The sequence below is a fragment of the Homo sapiens genome, chromosome 1 (assembly GCF_000001405.40).
Source record: "Homo sapiens chromosome 1, GRCh38.p14 Primary Assembly".
In the NCBI taxonomy this organism is placed as follows: Eukaryota; Metazoa; Chordata; class Mammalia; order Primates; family Hominidae; genus Homo; species Homo sapiens.
Genome location: NC_000001.11, coordinates 229,147,977 through 229,167,047, shown reverse-complemented (window position 1 = coordinate 229,167,047; position 19,071 = coordinate 229,147,977). Strand labels below are relative to the sequence as shown.

At 46.3% G+C, this 19,071-nt stretch overlaps 1 long non-coding RNA gene across 3 annotated transcripts in view, besides 3 other annotated features; it reads left to right on the top strand.

Annotated features, from left to right (window-relative positions):
• Positions 3,890 to 4,390: an enhancer, noted in NCBI's record as "H3K4me1 hESC enhancer chr1:229298405-229298905 (GRCh37/hg19 assembly coordinates)". NCBI's record gives its function as "activates a minimal SCP1, AML or CMV promoter by ChIP-STARR-seq in primed H9 embryonic stem cells {active_cell/tissue: H9 hESC(primed)}" and the evidence as "EXISTENCE:reporter gene assay evidence [ECO:0000049][PMID:30033119]".
• Positions 4,391 to 4,891: an enhancer, noted in NCBI's record as "H3K4me1 hESC enhancer chr1:229297904-229298404 (GRCh37/hg19 assembly coordinates)". NCBI's record gives its function as "activates a minimal SCP1, AML or CMV promoter by ChIP-STARR-seq in primed H9 embryonic stem cells {active_cell/tissue: H9 hESC(primed)}" and the evidence as "EXISTENCE:reporter gene assay evidence [ECO:0000049][PMID:30033119]".
• Positions 6,784 to 7,284: an enhancer, noted in NCBI's record as "H3K4me1 hESC enhancer chr1:229295511-229296011 (GRCh37/hg19 assembly coordinates)". NCBI's record gives its function as "activates a minimal SCP1, AML or CMV promoter by ChIP-STARR-seq in primed H9 embryonic stem cells {active_cell/tissue: H9 hESC(primed)}" and the evidence as "EXISTENCE:reporter gene assay evidence [ECO:0000049][PMID:30033119]".
• Positions 12,323 to 19,071, top strand: part of LINC02815 (long intergenic non-protein coding RNA 2815) — a 67,626-nt gene continuing 60,877 nt past the window's right edge. For all 3 annotated transcript variants that reach the window (NR_186725.1, NR_186726.1, NR_186727.1), the window contains exon 1: positions 12,323 to 12,478. This is a non-coding gene — a long non-coding RNA (long intergenic non-protein coding RNA 2815). The remainder of the gene's footprint in view (positions 12,479 to 19,071) is intronic.

The following is a 19,071-nucleotide window of genomic DNA, read 5'->3' as shown; positions in this document are numbered from 1 at the left end:
CAGTATGCAATAAGTGTGCAGATTCTTCACAGTGGAGGCAGTGGGTACCCTTGAGGCTTGAAGGATATGGTTTAGGGTAGAGAAGAAGGAAACTGCTTTTACAGATGGCAGTTTATATATATCCAAAGCTAACACAGTTTCAAAATACTGATCTGTAAGTCTAGAGGGGTGAGTATCTTGTGTTAATTTTATTAAGATGCACATTTAAATGTTCCCAGAATCATCTAATGCCATACAGGCCTCCTGCTTGCCTAGTGTTTTACTATGGACACTACTGCCTGCCATAATTCCTTGTACGTGGGGCTGACACACGCATGGCTAGGTGCTTCGCATCCTGGACCCATTGACCCCACAGGCTAGAGGGCTCCTTTCCGTGAAAATGTTTCTGCTCATTTCCATAAACGCTATATACATCTCACCTTTTAGACAAGGACCCTGGGGTTGAAAGAATTGAAGTGGCTGGTCCAAGAATGAAAACTTGGGCCGGGCTCGGTGGCTCACGCCTATAATCCCAGCACTTTGGGAGGCCAAGGAAGGAGATCAACTGAGGTCAGGAGTTCAAGACCAGCCTGGCCAACATGGTGAAACCCCATCTCTACTGAAAATACAAAGATAAGCCTGGCATGGTGGTGCATGTCTGTAGTCCCAGCTACTCGAGAGGCTGAGGCAGGAGAATCTCTTGAACACAGGAGGCGGAGGTTGCAGTGAGCCAAGATTGCGCCATTGCACTCCAGCCCAGGCAACAGAGTGAGACTCTGTTTCAAAAAAAAAAAAAAAAAAAAAAACAGCGTGGTAGTGGCCTGACTCCCACCTGATGCTCTTTCTACTTACACGAGGTCACAGAGAGTGAGGAGCCCTGCACTAGGCAGAGGGGACAAGAGAGAGATGTGCTCATTTTGTTCTGTGGTTGGTGTTGGAGGATTGAGTGTGTGCACTTTCTCTCTTGCACACTCACACACCCATGCACCCCATCCACACATACAATTACTTTTTTCTGAGGACTTCCTTTTTGCATTTCATCTGATGTCCTAGCCCTCCTCAAAGCAGACTTGAGCTTCTAGGGCTCATTGGATCAAACCACAGATTCATGCGCAGGACTTATTCCTCTTCGTTTCACAGTTGAAGAAGGAGCTTGGAGACAAGAGTGGGCTTTTTCCCCTTTTTAACCCAACAGAATGGTAAACATAGATTTATTGGTCTATGAGCAACTTCAGGCAGAATCTGGTCATTTTCACGTTTGCGTTTCCCGTGGAGACCACAGCATCCAGCATGCAATAAAGTCTCCACGAGCATGGGGTGAGTTAATGGAGAATGGGCAGGCATCGGGCTGCACTGATGGGCCACGCAGTCTCTCCCAACATTAACATTATGAGGTCACAGTGGCACAAAACATTGCCAGAAGATAAAGGGCCTAGAGACCTCAAACTTAATGTAGAACAAGTTACATTTCAGGTCTTAGCACTGTGAAAAATGGCCCATTGTTTGAGCTATGAGTAAGCAGAGACACCTTCCACATGGGAGTTTCACATTCTGCTTTAGAGAAGGTCAGAGTGCCCTTCCTGTGCCTGCCGCTGCTGTCGTTATTTTTTGTGTCTTTGACTTAAAACCATCAACATGCCAACATGGTGTATTTTGAGGTGCTGTTTTCTGGACACCTTCATTGTCTAATTTAATTCCCCTAACAACTGGAGGAGGTCACTGTTTGCATTTGCTGATGTGAAAACAGGCTCAGAGAAATGACAAAATGTACCAATCTCTTACAGCAGCTAAGGGGACTTCCTTCCCTCTGTCCCTTTTTCTTCCTCCTGCGATCTAGAGACACAGAGGGAATGCAGTAAGGGTGTGAGAGGAACGGAATGCTTCTTGGGGATGTTGGTAAACAAAACACACCTGCTCTGATGGGAGTTTCCCTCTGGTCGGAGACAGGCACCTCAAGGCAGATCTGGCCCTTGGGTGGCCCCGGCCCTGGACCCTGGGTGCTCAATGGGTCCACAGAAGTTCGATCTTGACGCTTTGGTTTTCCCTCTGCTCCTCTCTTGCCCTTGCGTCTCTGCTTTTTCCTTTCTATCTGTTAACAATCTGGAGTTCAGACCTCTGCAACGACTTCTTGGTTGGCTCCTGGCCCTATTCTCTCTGGCCCCAGTCCAGTCTCTGCCCTAGGTCCTATCTTTAGTTCCCAACCACATTTTCCAAGTCTAGACTCCCCTGGTAGGGCTGCAGAACCATCCACGATCTTGTCATTCCCAACACATTTGGCCTCATCTCCCTTTCTCTGCAAGTTGACCCCTGCTGGCTAACAAGGATGCCCTTCCCTCTCTCCAACACAGTTCCTAGGCTCATTCAAACCCCTGCCTTTCCATTCATCTTTTTTAAAAGCACTGCTCTTCCTCCTCCCACCCATCTAAATGTTGTTAGGACTATAGGCTTTGAGGTTAAAGAGATCTGTGTTAAAATTATGTTAGTATCACTTGGCTGGCTGTACATGACCTTTGGAGTCAGAGTTTCCTTATGTAAAAGGAAAATGGTAATAGCAATTGCATAGTGTTGGCAGAGGAGTGGCATATAAAGAGTCCCCTGCAAAGCACAAGCACAGGTGCTGGCCAACGGGAAGACCCAAGTCAGGGTCATTGTTATCCTCTGTTCCTTAAGGTCCAGCTCCAGACCTGCCTTCTTCTGAGGCTTTTTCAACTTTTCTAGCAGCAGTCAAGTTCAACTGCATTGAGGACACTAAATTTGGTCCTGAATTATTTTCCATGTGGTGAATGGATGAGACGTATCTCTCAAACTAGATTGTACACTTACAGGCATAGACTGTGGTTTTTCTTTTTTCTTATTTTTTTGAGACGGAATCTTACTCTGTCACCCAGGCTGGAGTGCAGTGGTGCCATCTCAGCTCACTGCAACCTCCACTTCCTGAGTTCAAGTGATCCTCTCACTTCAGCCTCCCGAGTAGCTGGGACTACAGGCATGTGTCAACACATTGGCTAATTTTTTGTATTTATTTTTATTTTTGTAGAGATGAGGCCTTTCTGTGTTCCCCAGGCTGGTCTTGATCCACCCGCCTTGTGCTGGGATTACAGGCATGAGCCACCACGTCTGGCCGGTTTCTTTTTGTTCTTTTCATACACCTATAGCACTTACAAATTCTTGTGGCCAGTGGTAAGGGGAACATGGGGAATTTTCTTCATCCACAGTGAGTTCAGGTCCTCTGAATTTAGGCTCCTCAAAGCCCTGTGGCTCCTATAAGATTTAGGACTGGGGCCACCCACCTGGAGAGCAGACACCCAGAGCTGGATTTGCACCGAGCAGACCGGTGGCCAATGGAGGAGGCGCTGTGTCCTGGGTACCCAGCCACTTACCTGCAGGCACCTGGCATCATATCAGCTTGCTGGGTGACGGGGGCTACACAACTGTGGTCCCCAGGGGCCAGACAGCCTCCTGCTTTGCACATCCTGTGGAATCTTCAGAGGCAACAAATTGGAACAGGAAAAGAGGTGTTTTTTTCATGAAACAAGCATGTGTTCTGTTTAATGAGGAGAATTCGAGACTCAAGCTGGGGAGAGTACGTGAACTGACTTCTTGACAATGTAATTATAACTCATTTTTCACTACTAAATTGAAATCACTTAGCCAGGCACTGGCCCAGTTTTGGTGAGCGTAGGGGAGCAGCAGCCTGCCTCTGCCTGCCAGCAGTGGATATGAGGCTGTCTTTGATGCTGGAGCACCAGGGGAGCACGCTGGTGTTGGAGAGCCTGCCTGCATTAAGAATATTCCTCAGAAATGGTGTACAATTGGTTTTTATAAATATTTACATTTGGTTGACATTATCCTATCAGAACCGCTGCATTTCTGACTGATCTCGGAGTGCCCCTGAGTGCTGCCTCTTTTAATTTCCTAAGCAGTTGTGCTTGCTTCGGCAGCACATATATTAATTTCCTAAGCAGTTAATTGTCTGTAAACTGTAAAAGAAGAAGGCTTCCTAGTTGAGGCAATAAGCTATTTTAAGTGAATCCTTTTGCAAAACAAAAACTCCTTTTGTAGTGAAGAAAATCTCCCCTAATTGGTCCCTGTGGTAAATGGGATTTCCCTTGATGTCTATAATCTTTTTTTTTTTTTTTTTTTTTTTTTTAAGACAAAGTCTCGCTCTGTCGCCAGGCTGGAGTACAGTGGCGTCATCTGAACTTACTGCAACCTCCGTCTCCTGGGTTCAAGCAATTCTCCTGCCTCAGCCTCCCGAGTAACTGGGACTACAGGCGCGTGCCACCACGCCCGGCTAATTTTTGTATTTTTAGTAGAGACGGGGTTTCATCATGTTGGCCAGGATGGTCTCGATCTCCTGACCCCCTGATCCGCCTGCCTCAGCCTCCCAAAGTGCTGGGATTACAGGCGTGAGCCACCGTGCCCGGCCTACAATCCTTAATGCCGTGGAATTCATGCCTCGTCTACCTGGTTCCTGAGGAGGCAGACACCTGGGGGCAAAGCAGGGCACTGGGGAAGTACCGGTTCTTCCTGCTCTCACATAATCTGCTTGGGAGTCCCGGGGGGTAGGTATTATTATCCCCATTCTGCAGGTAAAAAAAGTGCAGCTCAGAAGAGGTAAATACATGTCTGAGGTCACACAGCAGGTCAGGGCTGTGCCAGGAGTCAGTCCGAGGTCACTGTGCCATGCAGACTGGAAGGAGGCCCCAAGAGCTCAAAGCCCTCCTCCTGGTGCCCAGGTCTTTCCATGAAAAAACCACCTTAAAGGGGGACTTTGTGTATGGATTTCTAGGCCACACTCACTTTTAGCTCCTTGAAGCCCTTCTCAGCATTAAGTTATCTTATCCTTCAAAACAGGTAGATAGAGCTGGGTACAGTAGCTCAGGCCTGTCATCCCAGTGATTTGCGAGGCAGAGGCAGGAAGATCACTTGAGCCCAGGAGTTGGAGGCCAGCCTGGGGACATAGCAAGACCTCATCTCTAAGAAAATTAAAAAACGTAGCTGGGCATGGTGGCACATGCCTATAGTCCCAGCTATTTAGCAGGCTTAGGCAGGAGGATCGCTGGAATCAGTGAGCCATGACTGCACTGTTGCACTCCAGCCTAGATGACAGAGTGAGACTCAACTCAAAAAAAAAAAAAAAAAAAAAAAAGAAAGAAAAAGAAAGGAGATGGGTTTTCTCTGGATGAGTGTGCTGGGGTGGTTCCACTGTGGCATGCAGGACTGTGGCTCAGGGTTTCTCTCCTGCCCTCTTTGATGCCTGGGGCCTGTGCCAAGTCACCTTGACCCATTTTAACCAGCAGCTTGGGTTAAAGTTCTTAATGACCAGGAGATATATATATATATATTTATGTATTGCATTTTATAAATGCTTTAAATACAGTCATAAAAAATAAGCTTCAAATTTACAAAAACCAAGACAGTTAAAGCTGATGGGATGGGAGTTATATTTCCATGTTCAAAATGCTAACTTAACAAAAAATTTCCTTTAGATTCATTTAACTACCTAAATGTTTGCAATGTGGTTATGTTTCTAAAATTGGAATTAGGTCGGGTGTGGTGGCTCATATCTGTAATCCCAGCACTTTGGGGAGGCCGAGGTGGGCAGACCACCTGAGGTCAGGAGTTCGAGACCAGACTGGCCAAGGTGGTGAAACTCCATCTTACTAAAAATACAAAAATTGGCTGGGCGTAATGGTGGGCGCCTATAATCCCAGCTACTGGGGAAGCTGAGGCAGGGAGAATTGCTTGAACCTGGGAGGTGGAGGTTGCAGTGAGCCGAGAGAGATCATGCCATTGCACTCCAGCCTGGGTGATCTCAAAAAAAAAAAAAAAAAAAAAAAAAAAAAAGGGGGAATTAAGTTTTTATTCAAGTGGGTTTTATTAGATGTAATTTATCTGGCATCAAACTCTTGTATAAATACTAGCATAGCCAGCCCAGATCTTTCCAAACTATGTTGTGTGCAACAGTAGCACCCTGAGATGTTATTGAGGCATTCTTCAAAAAAAAAAAAATGTAATATAACCAGAGCACTTGTGAAACAATGAGTCAAAAAAAGTTAAATACTTAATTTTTTTTTTTTTTTTACTGCAGGACTCCCTCTAAGATTCTAATATGCTAAATAATATATATTTGTATTAGGTATCTATTGTTATGTAACAAATTATCCCAAAACTTTGTGGCTAAAAACAACAATAAATATTGATACCACTCACAGTTTCTGTGGGTCAGGAGTGTGTGAGCAGCTTGGTTGGGTTGTTCAGGCTCATGGTCTTTCCTGAGGTTGCAGTTGAGATGTTGGCTGGCACTGTATTATCTGAAGGCTGGTCTAGGGCTGGAGGATCCACTTTCAAAATGCCAGGCTTTTTGGTGGGAGCCCTAAGCTCTTTTCTGTGGGCCTCTCTTGACAGGGCTGCTTGAGGATCCTCATGGTATGCAGGCCAGCCTCTCCCAGAGAACAAGGCAGAAGCTGCAATGCCCCACAGGAGGGAGACTTGGAAGTCAGACATCATCGCCCCTGCCATACGGTCTTAGTCCATTTGTGTTGCTATAAAGGAATACCTGAGGCTGGGAAATTTATAACAAGAAGAGGTTTATTTGGCTTGTGGTTCTGCAGGCTCCACAGGATGGTGCCAGCATCTGCTTCTGGTGAGGGCCTCAGATGTTTCCATTCATGGAGAAGGTGAAGGGGAACAGGCATCATATGGCCAGAGAGGAAGCAAGAGAGAGGAGGAGGAACCAGTTTCCATGGGAACAAGAGTGAGAGTTCACTCACTCTGTGAAAATGGCACCGAGCCATGAGGGATCCATCCCGGTGACCCAAACACCTCCCACCAGGGCCCACCTCCAACACTGGGGAGTCAAATTTCAACACGAGATTTGGAGGGGATAAGTATTCAAACAGTATCACATAATCTGTCAGTCACACTTACCAGCCCTGAATTGATGTGAGAAGGGGACCCTACAAGGGTGTGAAGACACAGAGGCAAGATCTTTGGGGGCCACCTGGAGGCTGGCTATCATGACATCGTTCAGCCTTAAGTAGAGGTTATGATGTAATTTTCCCCAAACTCACTTTACCTCAGATTGTCACAAAATCCCTTTGTTTTCCAATTAATGAGTATTCCTGGTATGTGTTGACCTCCACTGTTCCAGCCCAGGTTGCTCAATTCAACCTGTAGCTTGGGGTGAGCCACTGCCTACTGCCCTGCATGGTGTCAGGAGACTCCTTTGTATCATGGTGTGTGTGTGTGCATGTGTGGGGTGTGTGGAGTGCACGGTGCAGGCTGGCGAGGGATGAGAGCTCTGGGGGCACAGCCTGAGGGCAAGGAGCTCCTAAGCCCTTAAACTGCACCCTCCAGGGGTCCCTTTCCTCACTGCAGGGCTGCGTTAGTATCCACCCTGGACCACTCTCTCCCTCATGGTCACTGAGTACCCTAGAGTTGGAGCTTCTCTCCACTTCTTGGTTTCTTCCTCGCCTTCAGCCACTTTGCGCCTGGGTCCACCACTTCTCCTTCATATGAAAGCTGTCTTCCTGGCTTTTTTTTTTTTTTTTTCATAAGAAGCTATGGTGGTCAAATAAGAAAGAACTTTTAGAACAGGATTCTAAAGCCTGGTGTGGTGGCACATACTTGTAATCTCAGCACTTTGGGAGATTGAGGCAGAAGGACTGATTGAGGCCAGGAGTTTGAGACTGTCTGGGCAACATAGTGAGATCCCCATCGCTACAAAATACTTCAAAGTTAGCTGGATGTGATGTGCACACCTGTAGTCCCAGCTGCTTGGGAGGCCGAGGCAGGAGAATTCCTTGAGCCCAGGAGTCGAGGTTGCAGTGAACAACAGAGCAAGGCCAAAAAACAGCCAGAAAACAGCAGCAAAAACCCCCCAGGATTCTGAGTTGTTCATGGCAAAGGAAGTTAGTTCTTCCTTCTTTGCTGTCAGGAAGGCTCTCCCCACAAACACAACTGCCTGGTCAGCACTTCTTGGGGAAGGTCTTTCTTTCTCCCTGCCCATCCCAGAATGGGTTAAATCTAAGGCAGGAAAAACGAGACAAAAAGGACTGGCGTTTTCACATTGAGTTAGGTTGAGTATTGCCCTTCTACCCTGGAACATTGCTTTGATCACAGGCCTGTCTGTGTGCATCCCCTCCTTGGGCAGAACTGCAGCCTTCTGAGTAATCAAGCTTCTCTGAAGTGCTCTTACCCTCATCCCAAGAAATCATGTCTTTCCTGCTTCACTTTAGCAGTGACCTTCCCACCACTGACGTGTACCTTTTATAACTGCAATTGTCTTGCGTATTTCTGCTCTAAACTTGGATCAGCCATGTGCCTGCTGCCCCTGTCCTAGAGCAAGTGTGAGGTCATTGAATGAGCATCTGAAACTGTGGCCCTGACGTATGGAGGCTGGCAGGCAGGGGTCCTGAAGCAGTTGGGCCGAGGGGCTGGAAATGTGGCATGCCAACTCCTTGTTTTTCCAGGAACTTGCAGAGTGCGTAGGGGAAGGCCCATAAACTGCTCAGTATTGCAAGTTACCCCACGCTAGAATGGGGAAGAAAATACAACTACATTATTGCGGTCATCACTGAGCACGTGAGGTGGTGGTGAGTGAGCATCTTTGCAAAGCAGAGCCAGGCAGGCAGGGTTAGAGTCTCTTTCTCCCTCTCTCTCTCGGATGATTTACGTTTCCATCCACCTCACTTAACGTGGCCTCCTGGGCAAAGCTTACTCATTTGCAGATGTCTTTTTCCTTGTATCATTTCCTTCCTTCTCTAAAGAGCAGATTTCCATCTGGGTGTCTGGTAAGAGGGAAAAGGGAAAATAGTTCCTGGACTGGGTGGTTTTGGAAGTTAAGAGCTCCCTCCTCTATATTGTCAATCTTCAGACCTAAAGGACATCACTCTTCTCCCTTCACACAATTGGTGATAAGCACCAGTGTTGTTATGACAAGGAAAAAAGGGTGGTTTCTAATTTTGGCAGAAAGAATGAAGACTGACCTTGTCAACAAAATGCTTATCAGGGAGTTTTAAACTCTTTTGTCAAAGATCTGACTTCCCAACTAGAGGGCTGCCCTCACCCTCCTCTAGTAAATCTGCTGATATTTTCACTTGTTGATACATTTTCCTAAAGTGCTGTGCCATGATTTTCCCCTTGATTGTCTCTTGGAGATACTTAGTATATTTTTCCTGAGTGAAGGATGAAACCCCTGAGGCCTGGAAGCAAGAGTTTAAGTAAATTACTCTAAAAGACTCTTCCCTGGCTTACTGTGGCCCACCGATGCCTCACCGCTGAAAGCAGCTTCCCATGAAACTCAGGGATGGTTGGATGGGAGACAACCAGAATGCCATCAGGCCACTCTGCTTCTGGAGCTCAGGCCGTAAAAGAAGAAGTGGTCTCACTGCTAGCCTGGGCAAATAGATTCCAGGGCATGGGAGGAGGCACATGACTTTCTGGTAGCCATACGAATTTTGGAATACAAGAGCATTCCAAAAAAAAAAAAGGAATATTCTTTATTCCAAAGCAAAACCAGTTGTTGGAACTGGTTTGCTCCCAGATTTTCAGAACAGCATCTACCCAGACCCCAGGTAGATGGTTGGAGGGGGTGGTTTGGGGCAGAGTGACTCCTGCATTACCTGAGTTACCTGGGCCAAGTGTACAGGTCTGCAGGCCACTAACCCCCAATCTAAGTTAGTGAAATGTCTTAAACCATCTGTGATCCCTTGCCAGAGCCACTGGGTGTCCAGGATACAGCTGCAGAGTGGCTTGTTGGGAAGGTTATGCCTGTCTCTTTATCTAGGTGGCATGCCCCATCTCTGGGTCCTGCCCCAACCCCTCACCCTGCCTGCCTTCTGCATCTGTCACTCTGTGTTATGGTTGTCTGTCTCCCTTACCACATGATAACTGGCTTTAGTGCAGGAAACCTGTGTGTGTTTATCTCTGTGTCCGTGGTGTTTAAAACAGAACCTGGCATCTGGTAGGAACCCAAAATATGTTCCCTGATAGAATGAGGGAACAAACCATTGTCCTGCAGCAGAAAAGCAGCAGGTGTCACTGTCCCCATGAACTCAGAAGGGTTCAGCCAGAGCTCTTCCTGAATTTTAGAAAGACCTGGGACCTGGTAGCAGGTCCATGTGCCGCATGGGATGAAGTCAGTAGGAGCTGGTGGGAGGCCGGAAGGAGGAGAAGGAGAGAAATAAACAGGGGTAGCAGAGAAGTCCTCAGTTCATCAGGAAAATCTTTATCCATGAGTTCAGTGAGCATTTCTTGTTTTCCTTGGAATTCCAGTTGTAATAAGATGCCGGCGAGTGTTGCAAGTGAGTGATTATTGAGGGTGGGTAAAGGCCTATTAGGGCTTCTCGCAGAAGCAGAAATTATTTCCTCCTGGCTGTCTATCCCAGTTTATCAATAAAACCAACAGTAGGAAGGTGGCTGCTGGGGTAGTGGGAGGCCCCAGGGGAAGCAGTCAGACCATTACTTGGCATAGTCAGGGCTATAGATGCTGGAATCGCTACTGAGCACTTGCCCCCAGTTGGTTCAAATCTTTTCTATGCAAGACTGTTTTTGCAGAGAAGGGAAACTGATAAGAAAAACAGCTCATATTAGGCATTTAGCAAATGAAGAAAGGAAGATGACTTCCAGGTCTCAGCTGATTCAAGATCACCTCTAACACCAGTGCCCGTTCTGCCCTGTTTTTAGGAGTGAAACTTCTTGGTTAAAAGAGATCTGATATTGTATCCTAACACAGAAAACAATGTATGTGGGGTTGCTCTGGCAGAGTGAGGGTAGGATCCAGAGACCCACCCTTGGCCTCAGTCCTCCTCCCTTACCGCCAGCCCCTCTAGCAGGCAGCTGACCCAGGAGCTCGGCTGGAGACCCACTGCCCAATCCTGCCCATTGGCCTCCCTCCCTCCAACTTTTCTTTTATTTTTATAGAGATGGATTCTTGCTATGTTGCCCAGACTGGTCTCAAACTCCTGGCCTCAAGCAGTCCTCCCACCTCGGCCTTCCAAAGTGTTAGGATTACAGGCATGAGCCATCGTGCCCAGCTAGAAATCTTTTCTTGTTAAACCAGTTAATGGGTACCTATGGTTCCTCAGTATTTTTCTTCATGTAGTCTGGTTAACAGACTTTTCCTCCTGTACTTCTCAGGCACTTTAAACTGAGCATGAAATGGTAAACCTACAACCTTGGGAAGACAGCACTTTTTCCAGGGCAGTTGCTATTTGGCTCTGGTTTTTAGAGCTGGGGGTGGAGGGTGGAGAGGAAGAGACTGACATTGAGGAAGAGACAGGAAACCATCGCGGATAGGAGACTTCTGATTGGCGCAGGCGGGTCCTCCAGGGAGCCATCGGCAGTAGGATGTACTTCCCCCTTCTCGGCGCCAACAAGGTCTGTAAATCTCTTTCTACCATGCTGTGTGTCAGCCACAGCCTTTTCTCCAGCAGTGGCTGTGTCATTGGGGATTCACAGAAATGCACACTCAGAGGAGCACAGAGCATTTAGCTTCCAGGACTGTCGTCATTTGTGCAGGTGCAGGACCACCAGCAGTCACACTGTGCTCCTGCTTTGACGATGTAGTGTGGTTATGAAGGAAAGTTCTGTACTTCCACAGCTGAATTCTGAGCTAAAACAATGGAGAACTTAACAGTTTCTTCAGCCAGCCTGACCCTAGACATAGAAGATGATCCTGACTAGATAGAGGACAGAGCCAGATGAAAAAGTGACATGCCTGGACAAACCAGGGCTGGGTCAGTGGCCGAAGGCCAAGGGGGATAACAGAAATAGGCTTGCAATGCAGTTTTGTATGTGCAGGGGCTGAAATTGAAGTGCAACTATAGTTCTCTATGTTTAGCCTAGTTGTTCAATAACTTGCTGAAATTTTATGCTATAATGTGAACTCAATTCTGTTCACCTTATCACAGTGTTACTTTGCAAAGTCATGAGTTAAGAGAAATTCCCCATGTGTGTTGGGAAATGAAAGCAACTGACTGACCATGGATCCCCCCTCATGTGTCCAATGGACAACTCCTTGGGCTTCCTGGGAGAGATGAACCCAGGGAGCAGTTCCAAGGACAAGAGGACTTTATTACACGGCAAGACTTTGGTGCTGGCCTCTTGTGCCATTCTCTGGAACTTTGCTAAATCACGTGGAACAGGAGGCCCTTCTTCAGCATAGACTCTACCAGTCCCGACAGCTTCCTTCCCTGCATCACTGGCAGATTTCTTTTGGGCTTCCCACAATGAGTGGAGGGGAAGAGGCTTAGATCCCCAACCTATAAAGACTAGAGACAGGAGGAGGGGCCAACACCAAGGGAGGGAATGAGGAGACAGTGTGTACCAGAGGCTGCCCTTTCTCAGCTTCCTGCACCTCTCCTTCCTCGTGGGTAAAAGGATGTCCACAGAGACTGATGTTCCAGCTTCTGTGTCTACTGTGGTGGGCGCTCCAGCACTGGGCATGGTTCTGAGGCCAAGCATTTTACAGCAACGCTGTTCCTTCTTGGAGGTAGGGTTCGTCCCAGGGGAGCAGCACATGCTTTTTTTTGTTGATGTTGTGTTATGGAGGGGAGGTCCCTGGCCCAGATGGACTCACCTGAGATTTCTCATCTTTGTCTCAGTGGTGTGGTTTGGTTGAACATGGTCCCTGTGGAATGGCCCAAACTGGAGACTATTGCTGCTTGGACATGCCACACCTATTTGTGCCCACAGAGGGCTCTGGGGGAGAAGGATTTCAATGACTTAGTAGCTGTCCTCATAGGTTCTTCCAATGCCCAAGGGCTCCCAAGGGCCCTCCATAGAAACTGCAGAATCCACAGGATCTGCTGGCCCTGGAGCTTGCGTACACTTGCTCAGACAGAGTGAGTGCAGAAGGCACCATTTACAGGCACGTCTTGTTTTATGGTGCTTTGCTTTATTGTGGTTGGTAGATACTGTGTTTTTTACAAACTGAAGGTTTGTGGCAACCCTGAGTTGAGCAAGTCTATTGGTGCTATTTTTCTAACAGCATGTGCTCACTTCATGTCTCTGTGTCACATTTTGGTGACTCTCCCAATATTTCAAAAGTTGTCATTATTTTTATGTCTGTTATGGTGCTCTGTGATCAGTGGTCTTTGAAGTTACTATTGTAATTGTTTCATGGCACCGCAAACCATGTCCATATAAGACAGGGAACTTAATCAACATGTATGTGTGTTCTGACTGCTCCACCCACCGGCCATTCCATCATCTCTCTTCCTTTCCTTGGGCCTCCCTATTCCCTGAGATACAACACAATTGAAATTAGGGCAATTAATAATTCTATTAATGGCTTCTAAGTGTTCAAGTGAATGGAAGTTGCACCTCTCTGACTTTAAATTAAAAGCTAGAAATAATGAAGCTTAGCACGTCAAAAGTCTAGAGAGGCCAAAAGCTAGGCCTCTTGTGCCAAACAGTCAGGCTGTGAATGTAAAGAAAAAGTTCTTCAAGGAAATTAAAAGTGCTACTCCAGTGAACATACAAATGATAAGAAAGCTGATACAAAGAGGTTTGAGTGGTTTAATAGAAGAGCAAATTAGCCACTACATTCCCTTAAGCCAAAACCTAACCCAGAACAAGGTCCCAACTCTCTTCAAATCTATGAAGCTGAAAGAGGTGAGGAAGCTGAAGAAGAAAAGATGGAAGCTAGCAGAGGTTGGCTCATGGGGTTTAAGGAAAGAAGACATCTTCATAACATGAAAGTACAGGGTGAAGCAGCAAGTGCTGATGTGGAAGCTGCAGCAGTTATTCAGAAGAACTAGCTAAGATATTTGATGAAGGTGGCTACACTAAACAGCATATTTTCAACATATATTAAACACCCTAATTGTATTAGAATAAAATGCCATCTAAAGTGTTCATTGCTATAGAGAAATCAATGTCTGGCTTCAGAGCTTCAAAGGACTGGCTGATTCTCTTGTTAGGGGCTATTGCAACTTGTGACTTTAAGTTGAAGCCAATGCTCATTTACCATTCTGGAAATCCTAGGGCCTTTAAACATCATGCAAAATTGACTCTGCCTATGCTCTATCAATGGAACAACAAAGCCTGGATGATAGCGTATCTGTTTACAGCGTGGTTTACTGAATATTTTAAGTCTACTGGTGAGACCTACTGCTCAGAAAAAAAGATTCCTTTCAAAATATTACAGTTCATTGGCAATATGCCTAGTCACCCAAGAGCTGATGGAGATGTTGTTTTCATGCCAACTAACATAATATTCATTCTGCAGCCCATGGATCAAGGAGTCATTTTGAACTTCAAGTCTTATTATTTAAGAAGTATAGTTTGTAAGGCAAAAGCTGACATAGATAATGACTGATTGATTGATATAGGCAAAGTAAACTGAAAACCTTCTGGAAGGGATTCAGCATTGTAGATGCCATTATGGACATTTGTTTTCACAGTTAAGACATATGAGAGAGAAAAAAAAGAACATTTGTGATTCATAGAAGGAAGTTAAAATATCAGCATTAACAGGAGTTTGGAAGAAGTTGATACCAATCCTCATGGATGACTTTGAGGCTTCAAGACTTTCATGGAGGAAGTAACTGCAGATGTGGAAATAGCAAGAGAACTAGAGTTAGAAGTAGAGACCAAAGATGTGATTGTATTCTTGCAATCTCATGATAAACGTTCAGTGGGTAAGGAGTTGCTTCTTATGCAGGAGCAAAGAAAGTGGTTTCTTGAGATGAAATCTACTCCCAGTGAAGATTCTGCGAACATTGTTGCAATTACAACAAAGGAATTAGAATATTATGTAAACTTAATTGATAAGGCAGCAGCAGGGTTTGAAAGGATTGGCTACAATTTTGGAAGAAGTTCTACTGTGAGTAAAGTGGTATCCAACAGCATCACATGCCACAGAGAACTCTTTCGCGAAAAGAAGAGTCAATCAAAGTGGCAACCTTCATTTTTGTCTTATTTTGAGAAATTGCCACAGCTACCCCAGCCTTCACTAACCACCACTCTAATCGGTCAGCAGCCATCAACATCCAGGCAAGACCCTCCACCAGCAAAAAAATTATGACTTCATCAACACCCAGGCAAGACCCTCCACCAGCAAAAAGATTATGACTCGCTGAAGGCTCAGATGACCATTAGCTTTTTTTTTTTTTTTTTTTTTTTTTGAGACAAAGTCTCGCTCTGTTGCCTAGGCTGGAGTGCAGGGGCATGATCTCGGCTCACTGCAACCTCTGCCTCCTGGGTTCAAGCAATTCTCTGCCTCAGCCTCCCGAGTAGCTGGGATTACAGGCGCCCACGATCACACCTGGCTAATTTTTTTGTATTCTTAGTAGAGACAAAGTTTCACCATCTTGACCAGGCTGGTCTTGAGCTCCTGACCTCATGATCCACCCACCTTGGCCTCCCAAAGTGCTGGGATTACAGGAGTGAGACACTGCACCCGGGTGATCATTAGCATTTTTTAGCAATAAAGTTTTTGTTGTTGTTATTTATTTTTTTAAGAGTCTAAGTCTTGCTCTGTCACCCAGGCTGGAGTGCAGTGGCATGATCATAGCTCACTGCAGCCTTGAACCTCTGGGCTCCCACCTCAGCTTCCTGAGTAGCTAGGACTATAGATGTGCACCACCACGCCTGGCTAATTTTTTTTTTTTTTTTTTTTTTTTTAAGAAACAGCATCTCACTATGTTGCCCAGTCTGTCTCCGACTCCTGGCCTCAAGCGATTCCCTCACTTCAGCTTCCAAATTGCTAGGATTACAGATGTGAGCCGCCACACCTAGGAAGCTTTTTCTAATTAAGATATTTACATTTTTTTAAGATGCAGTGCTACTGTACACTTAAGAGACTACAGCATAGTGTAAACATAACTTTTATATTGCACTGGGAAACTAAAAAACAATTGGTGACTCACTTTATTGTGATACTCTCTTTATTTCAGTGGTGTGGAACTGAACATGCACGATCTCCGAGGTAGGCCTGGGTGGGGATATCTTGCAAGACAGGACTGATCTCCTGTTTAAAGGCATCTCCCAAAACTCCTATTTTTATATTCGGATTGTGCTTTAGACATGTCAGAGATCAACTCGACCTGTCAGAATGAAGACAGGTGTGTTTTTGACCCTGAGCTGAAATGCCTCCTTCCCACTTTTAGGCCCAGAGGATGTGGACTATAAGTGAAGCGATACCCTAACCCTTCGGAGGTGCTGTACCCAGGCCTTTCACCTCTGTGCTCCTCAGTCTTTCTGGGGAGGAATGACATGGCTGCTGAGGCCCCTTCCCCTCAGGCCATCTCTGGCTCTGAAGGCCGAGAGCTTTGGAAGGAAGTTGAGCACCAGGGATCCAGAGCCTGCCTTCCTCGGAGGGGCTCATTGTCCTCCTGCGAAGCCAGATGGTTCACGTGATGGGGAGAGTGGCTGAGAGGATACAAGTGGCACGGGGAGGGGGTGGTCACCAGCCATCTCAACACAAGGGAAAGGCTGCGGGTATTGACTTGTCCTTTCTTTTTCAAATTAACTTTTTGTTTTTAATTATTATGGGTACATAACAGTTGCTTGTATTCATGGGGTACCTGTGATGCTTTGATACAGGCATGCAATGTATAGTGGTCAAGTCAGGGTAATTGGAGTATCCATCACCTGAAGCATTCATCATTTCTGTGTGTTAGGACATTCTAATTTCACTCTTTTAGTTATTTTAAAATATACAATAAATTATTGTTACCTATGGTCACTCTATTGTGGTACTGAATACTAGATCTTACTAATTCTATCTGACTATAGTTTTGTACTCGTTAACCATCCTCACTTATCCCCCCGCCCCACTACTACCCTTCCTAGCCCCTGGCAACCATCATTCTCCTCTATCTCCGTGAGTTCAAGTTTTAAAATTTTTATCTCCACATAAGTGAGAAAATGCAAAATTTGTCTTTCTGTGCCTTGCTTATTTCACTTAACATGACTTGTCTTTTCTCCTTAAAATCTCTCAGAGCCAGAGAACTTCTAAGGATGGCAGGAACCTTAGGGACTGTCTAGTCTAGTGGCCCCAAAACTTAGTAATGTGCCAGAATCATTACCTGTGGGCTTTACGAAGGGGGATTTCTGAGGAAGCAGAGTTCCAGGGATACAGCCTGGTTCTGAGGGCTGAGCCAGTGTGGCTCTGGGCCAGCTGAGCCACTTGGACACCATGGGAGTGAGGTGCTCAAGGGCACAAGTTTTACAGCCAGAGTGGATTTACCACTTGCCAGCTAGAACCTAAGACAAGACACTTAGCCTCAGTGTCCTCATCTGTGAAATAGGGAGAACAGCACTTAACACTTCACAGGGCTGTGAAGATGCTGTGTGGATGATACTTTGTGTGATACTATTTGAGATACTATGCATGATGCTATGTGTGGGATATTAGGTATGAGAGAATATGTGTAACACTGTGTGAGATACTCTGTGTAATACCATATGTGAGATAGATACTAAGTGAGATACTATGTGAAATAGTCTGCGTGATACTATATGTATGATACAGTGTGTGAGATATGATGTGTGATGCTGTGTATGAGATACTCTGTGTAATACTGTGTGTGGTGCCGTGTGTGATGCTGTATGTAAGGTACTCTGTGATACTCTGTGAGATGCTGTGTGTGAGATACTTTGTGTGATGCTGTATGTGAAGTTACTCTGTGATACTGTGTGTGAAATACTCTGTGATACTGTGTGATGCTGTGTGTGAGATACTCTGGGATACTGTGTGTGATGCTATGTTTGAGTTACCCTGTGATACTCTGTGTGATACTGTGTGTGATGTGGTGTATGAGATACTCTGGGATACTGTGTGTGATGTTTTGTTTGAGTTACTCTGTGACACTCTGTGTGATACTGTGTGTGAGATACTCTGGGATACTGTGTGTAATATTCTGTGTGAGATACTCTGTGATACTCAGTGTGATACTGTGTGTGAGATGCTCTGTGATACTCTGTGTGATGCTGTGTGAGATATTCTGTGATACTCTGTGTGATACCCTGTGGGAGATGCTCCGTGATACTGTGTGTGATGCTGTGTGTGAGCTACTCTGTGGTACTCTGTGCAACACCCTGTGTGAGATGCTCTGTGATGCTGTGTGTGATACTCTCTGTGTGATGCTGTGTGTGATACTGTGTGTGATGCTGTGTGTGATACTCTCTGTGTGGTGCTGTGTGTGATGCTGTGTGTGATACTCCGTGGTACTCTGTGCAACACCCCGTGTGAGATGCTCCTTGATGCACCACAGTGTGTGAGCCACTGTGCACCGCGTGTGAAGGGCTGGGCATGGCGTTTGTGCATGGTGAAGGTTGTCATCTGCTGCTGCTCCATGGAAAGCGTGTGGGGGAAGATGCCATCAAGACAGACAGGTGCCCTGGTTGTCCTGCGTTCTGTCCTCAGAGGAAAGTGAGCTGCTGTAAGAAGTCTTATCATGTGAGTCTGGACACAGAGGGAGTGATTTTGTGTTCCCAGAGGAACCCTTGCTCTGGATGTATTGCTTGAGGAAGTGGCCCAGGACTCCCAGTGCTGTCAGCGGAGCCACTGGCAGGGCTCAGGGTTATCTGCCCCTCACCTTCAAATGCTGCCAACACAAATGGATGGCTTGTTACCTGGGACACCAGACTGCATGGTTGATTAAGTGAAACCGGAGCTTTGTGCCCAGGGAGCAGCTGGAGGTGGGAGGCAGGCGGGAGGGAAGGGTTATGTAAATACGGCTGAATAACGGGCTTGTGTGCTGATGAGATAAGGGCCCAGGACCGCAGCCCACTGAGCAGCGCTGTGCTTCCAGGGTGGTCATGGCCCTGTGGGAAAGTCTGGGGCAGGACACTCCTGGCTCGCGGTGAAGGGCGGATTTCCCTGAGGTGTCTGTGGTTGCTGAGATAATGTCTGGTGACAACAGGACTGAAGTGCAGGGACCAGAGTCCACAAGCAGAGAGGCCTCTCTGCCCTGGCCCTGTTCGGTGGAATACGAAGAAAGTCAGACATGAGCTCTCCCCTCGGAGTTTAAAATCCTAATGAAGCTTAAGTCAAGAATTGTAGGTTATCCAAATCCCGTGTAAACGTTTGTGGGAGTCCCCAAACAAGAGCCGGCATTCGCAGGCTTGGAAGTC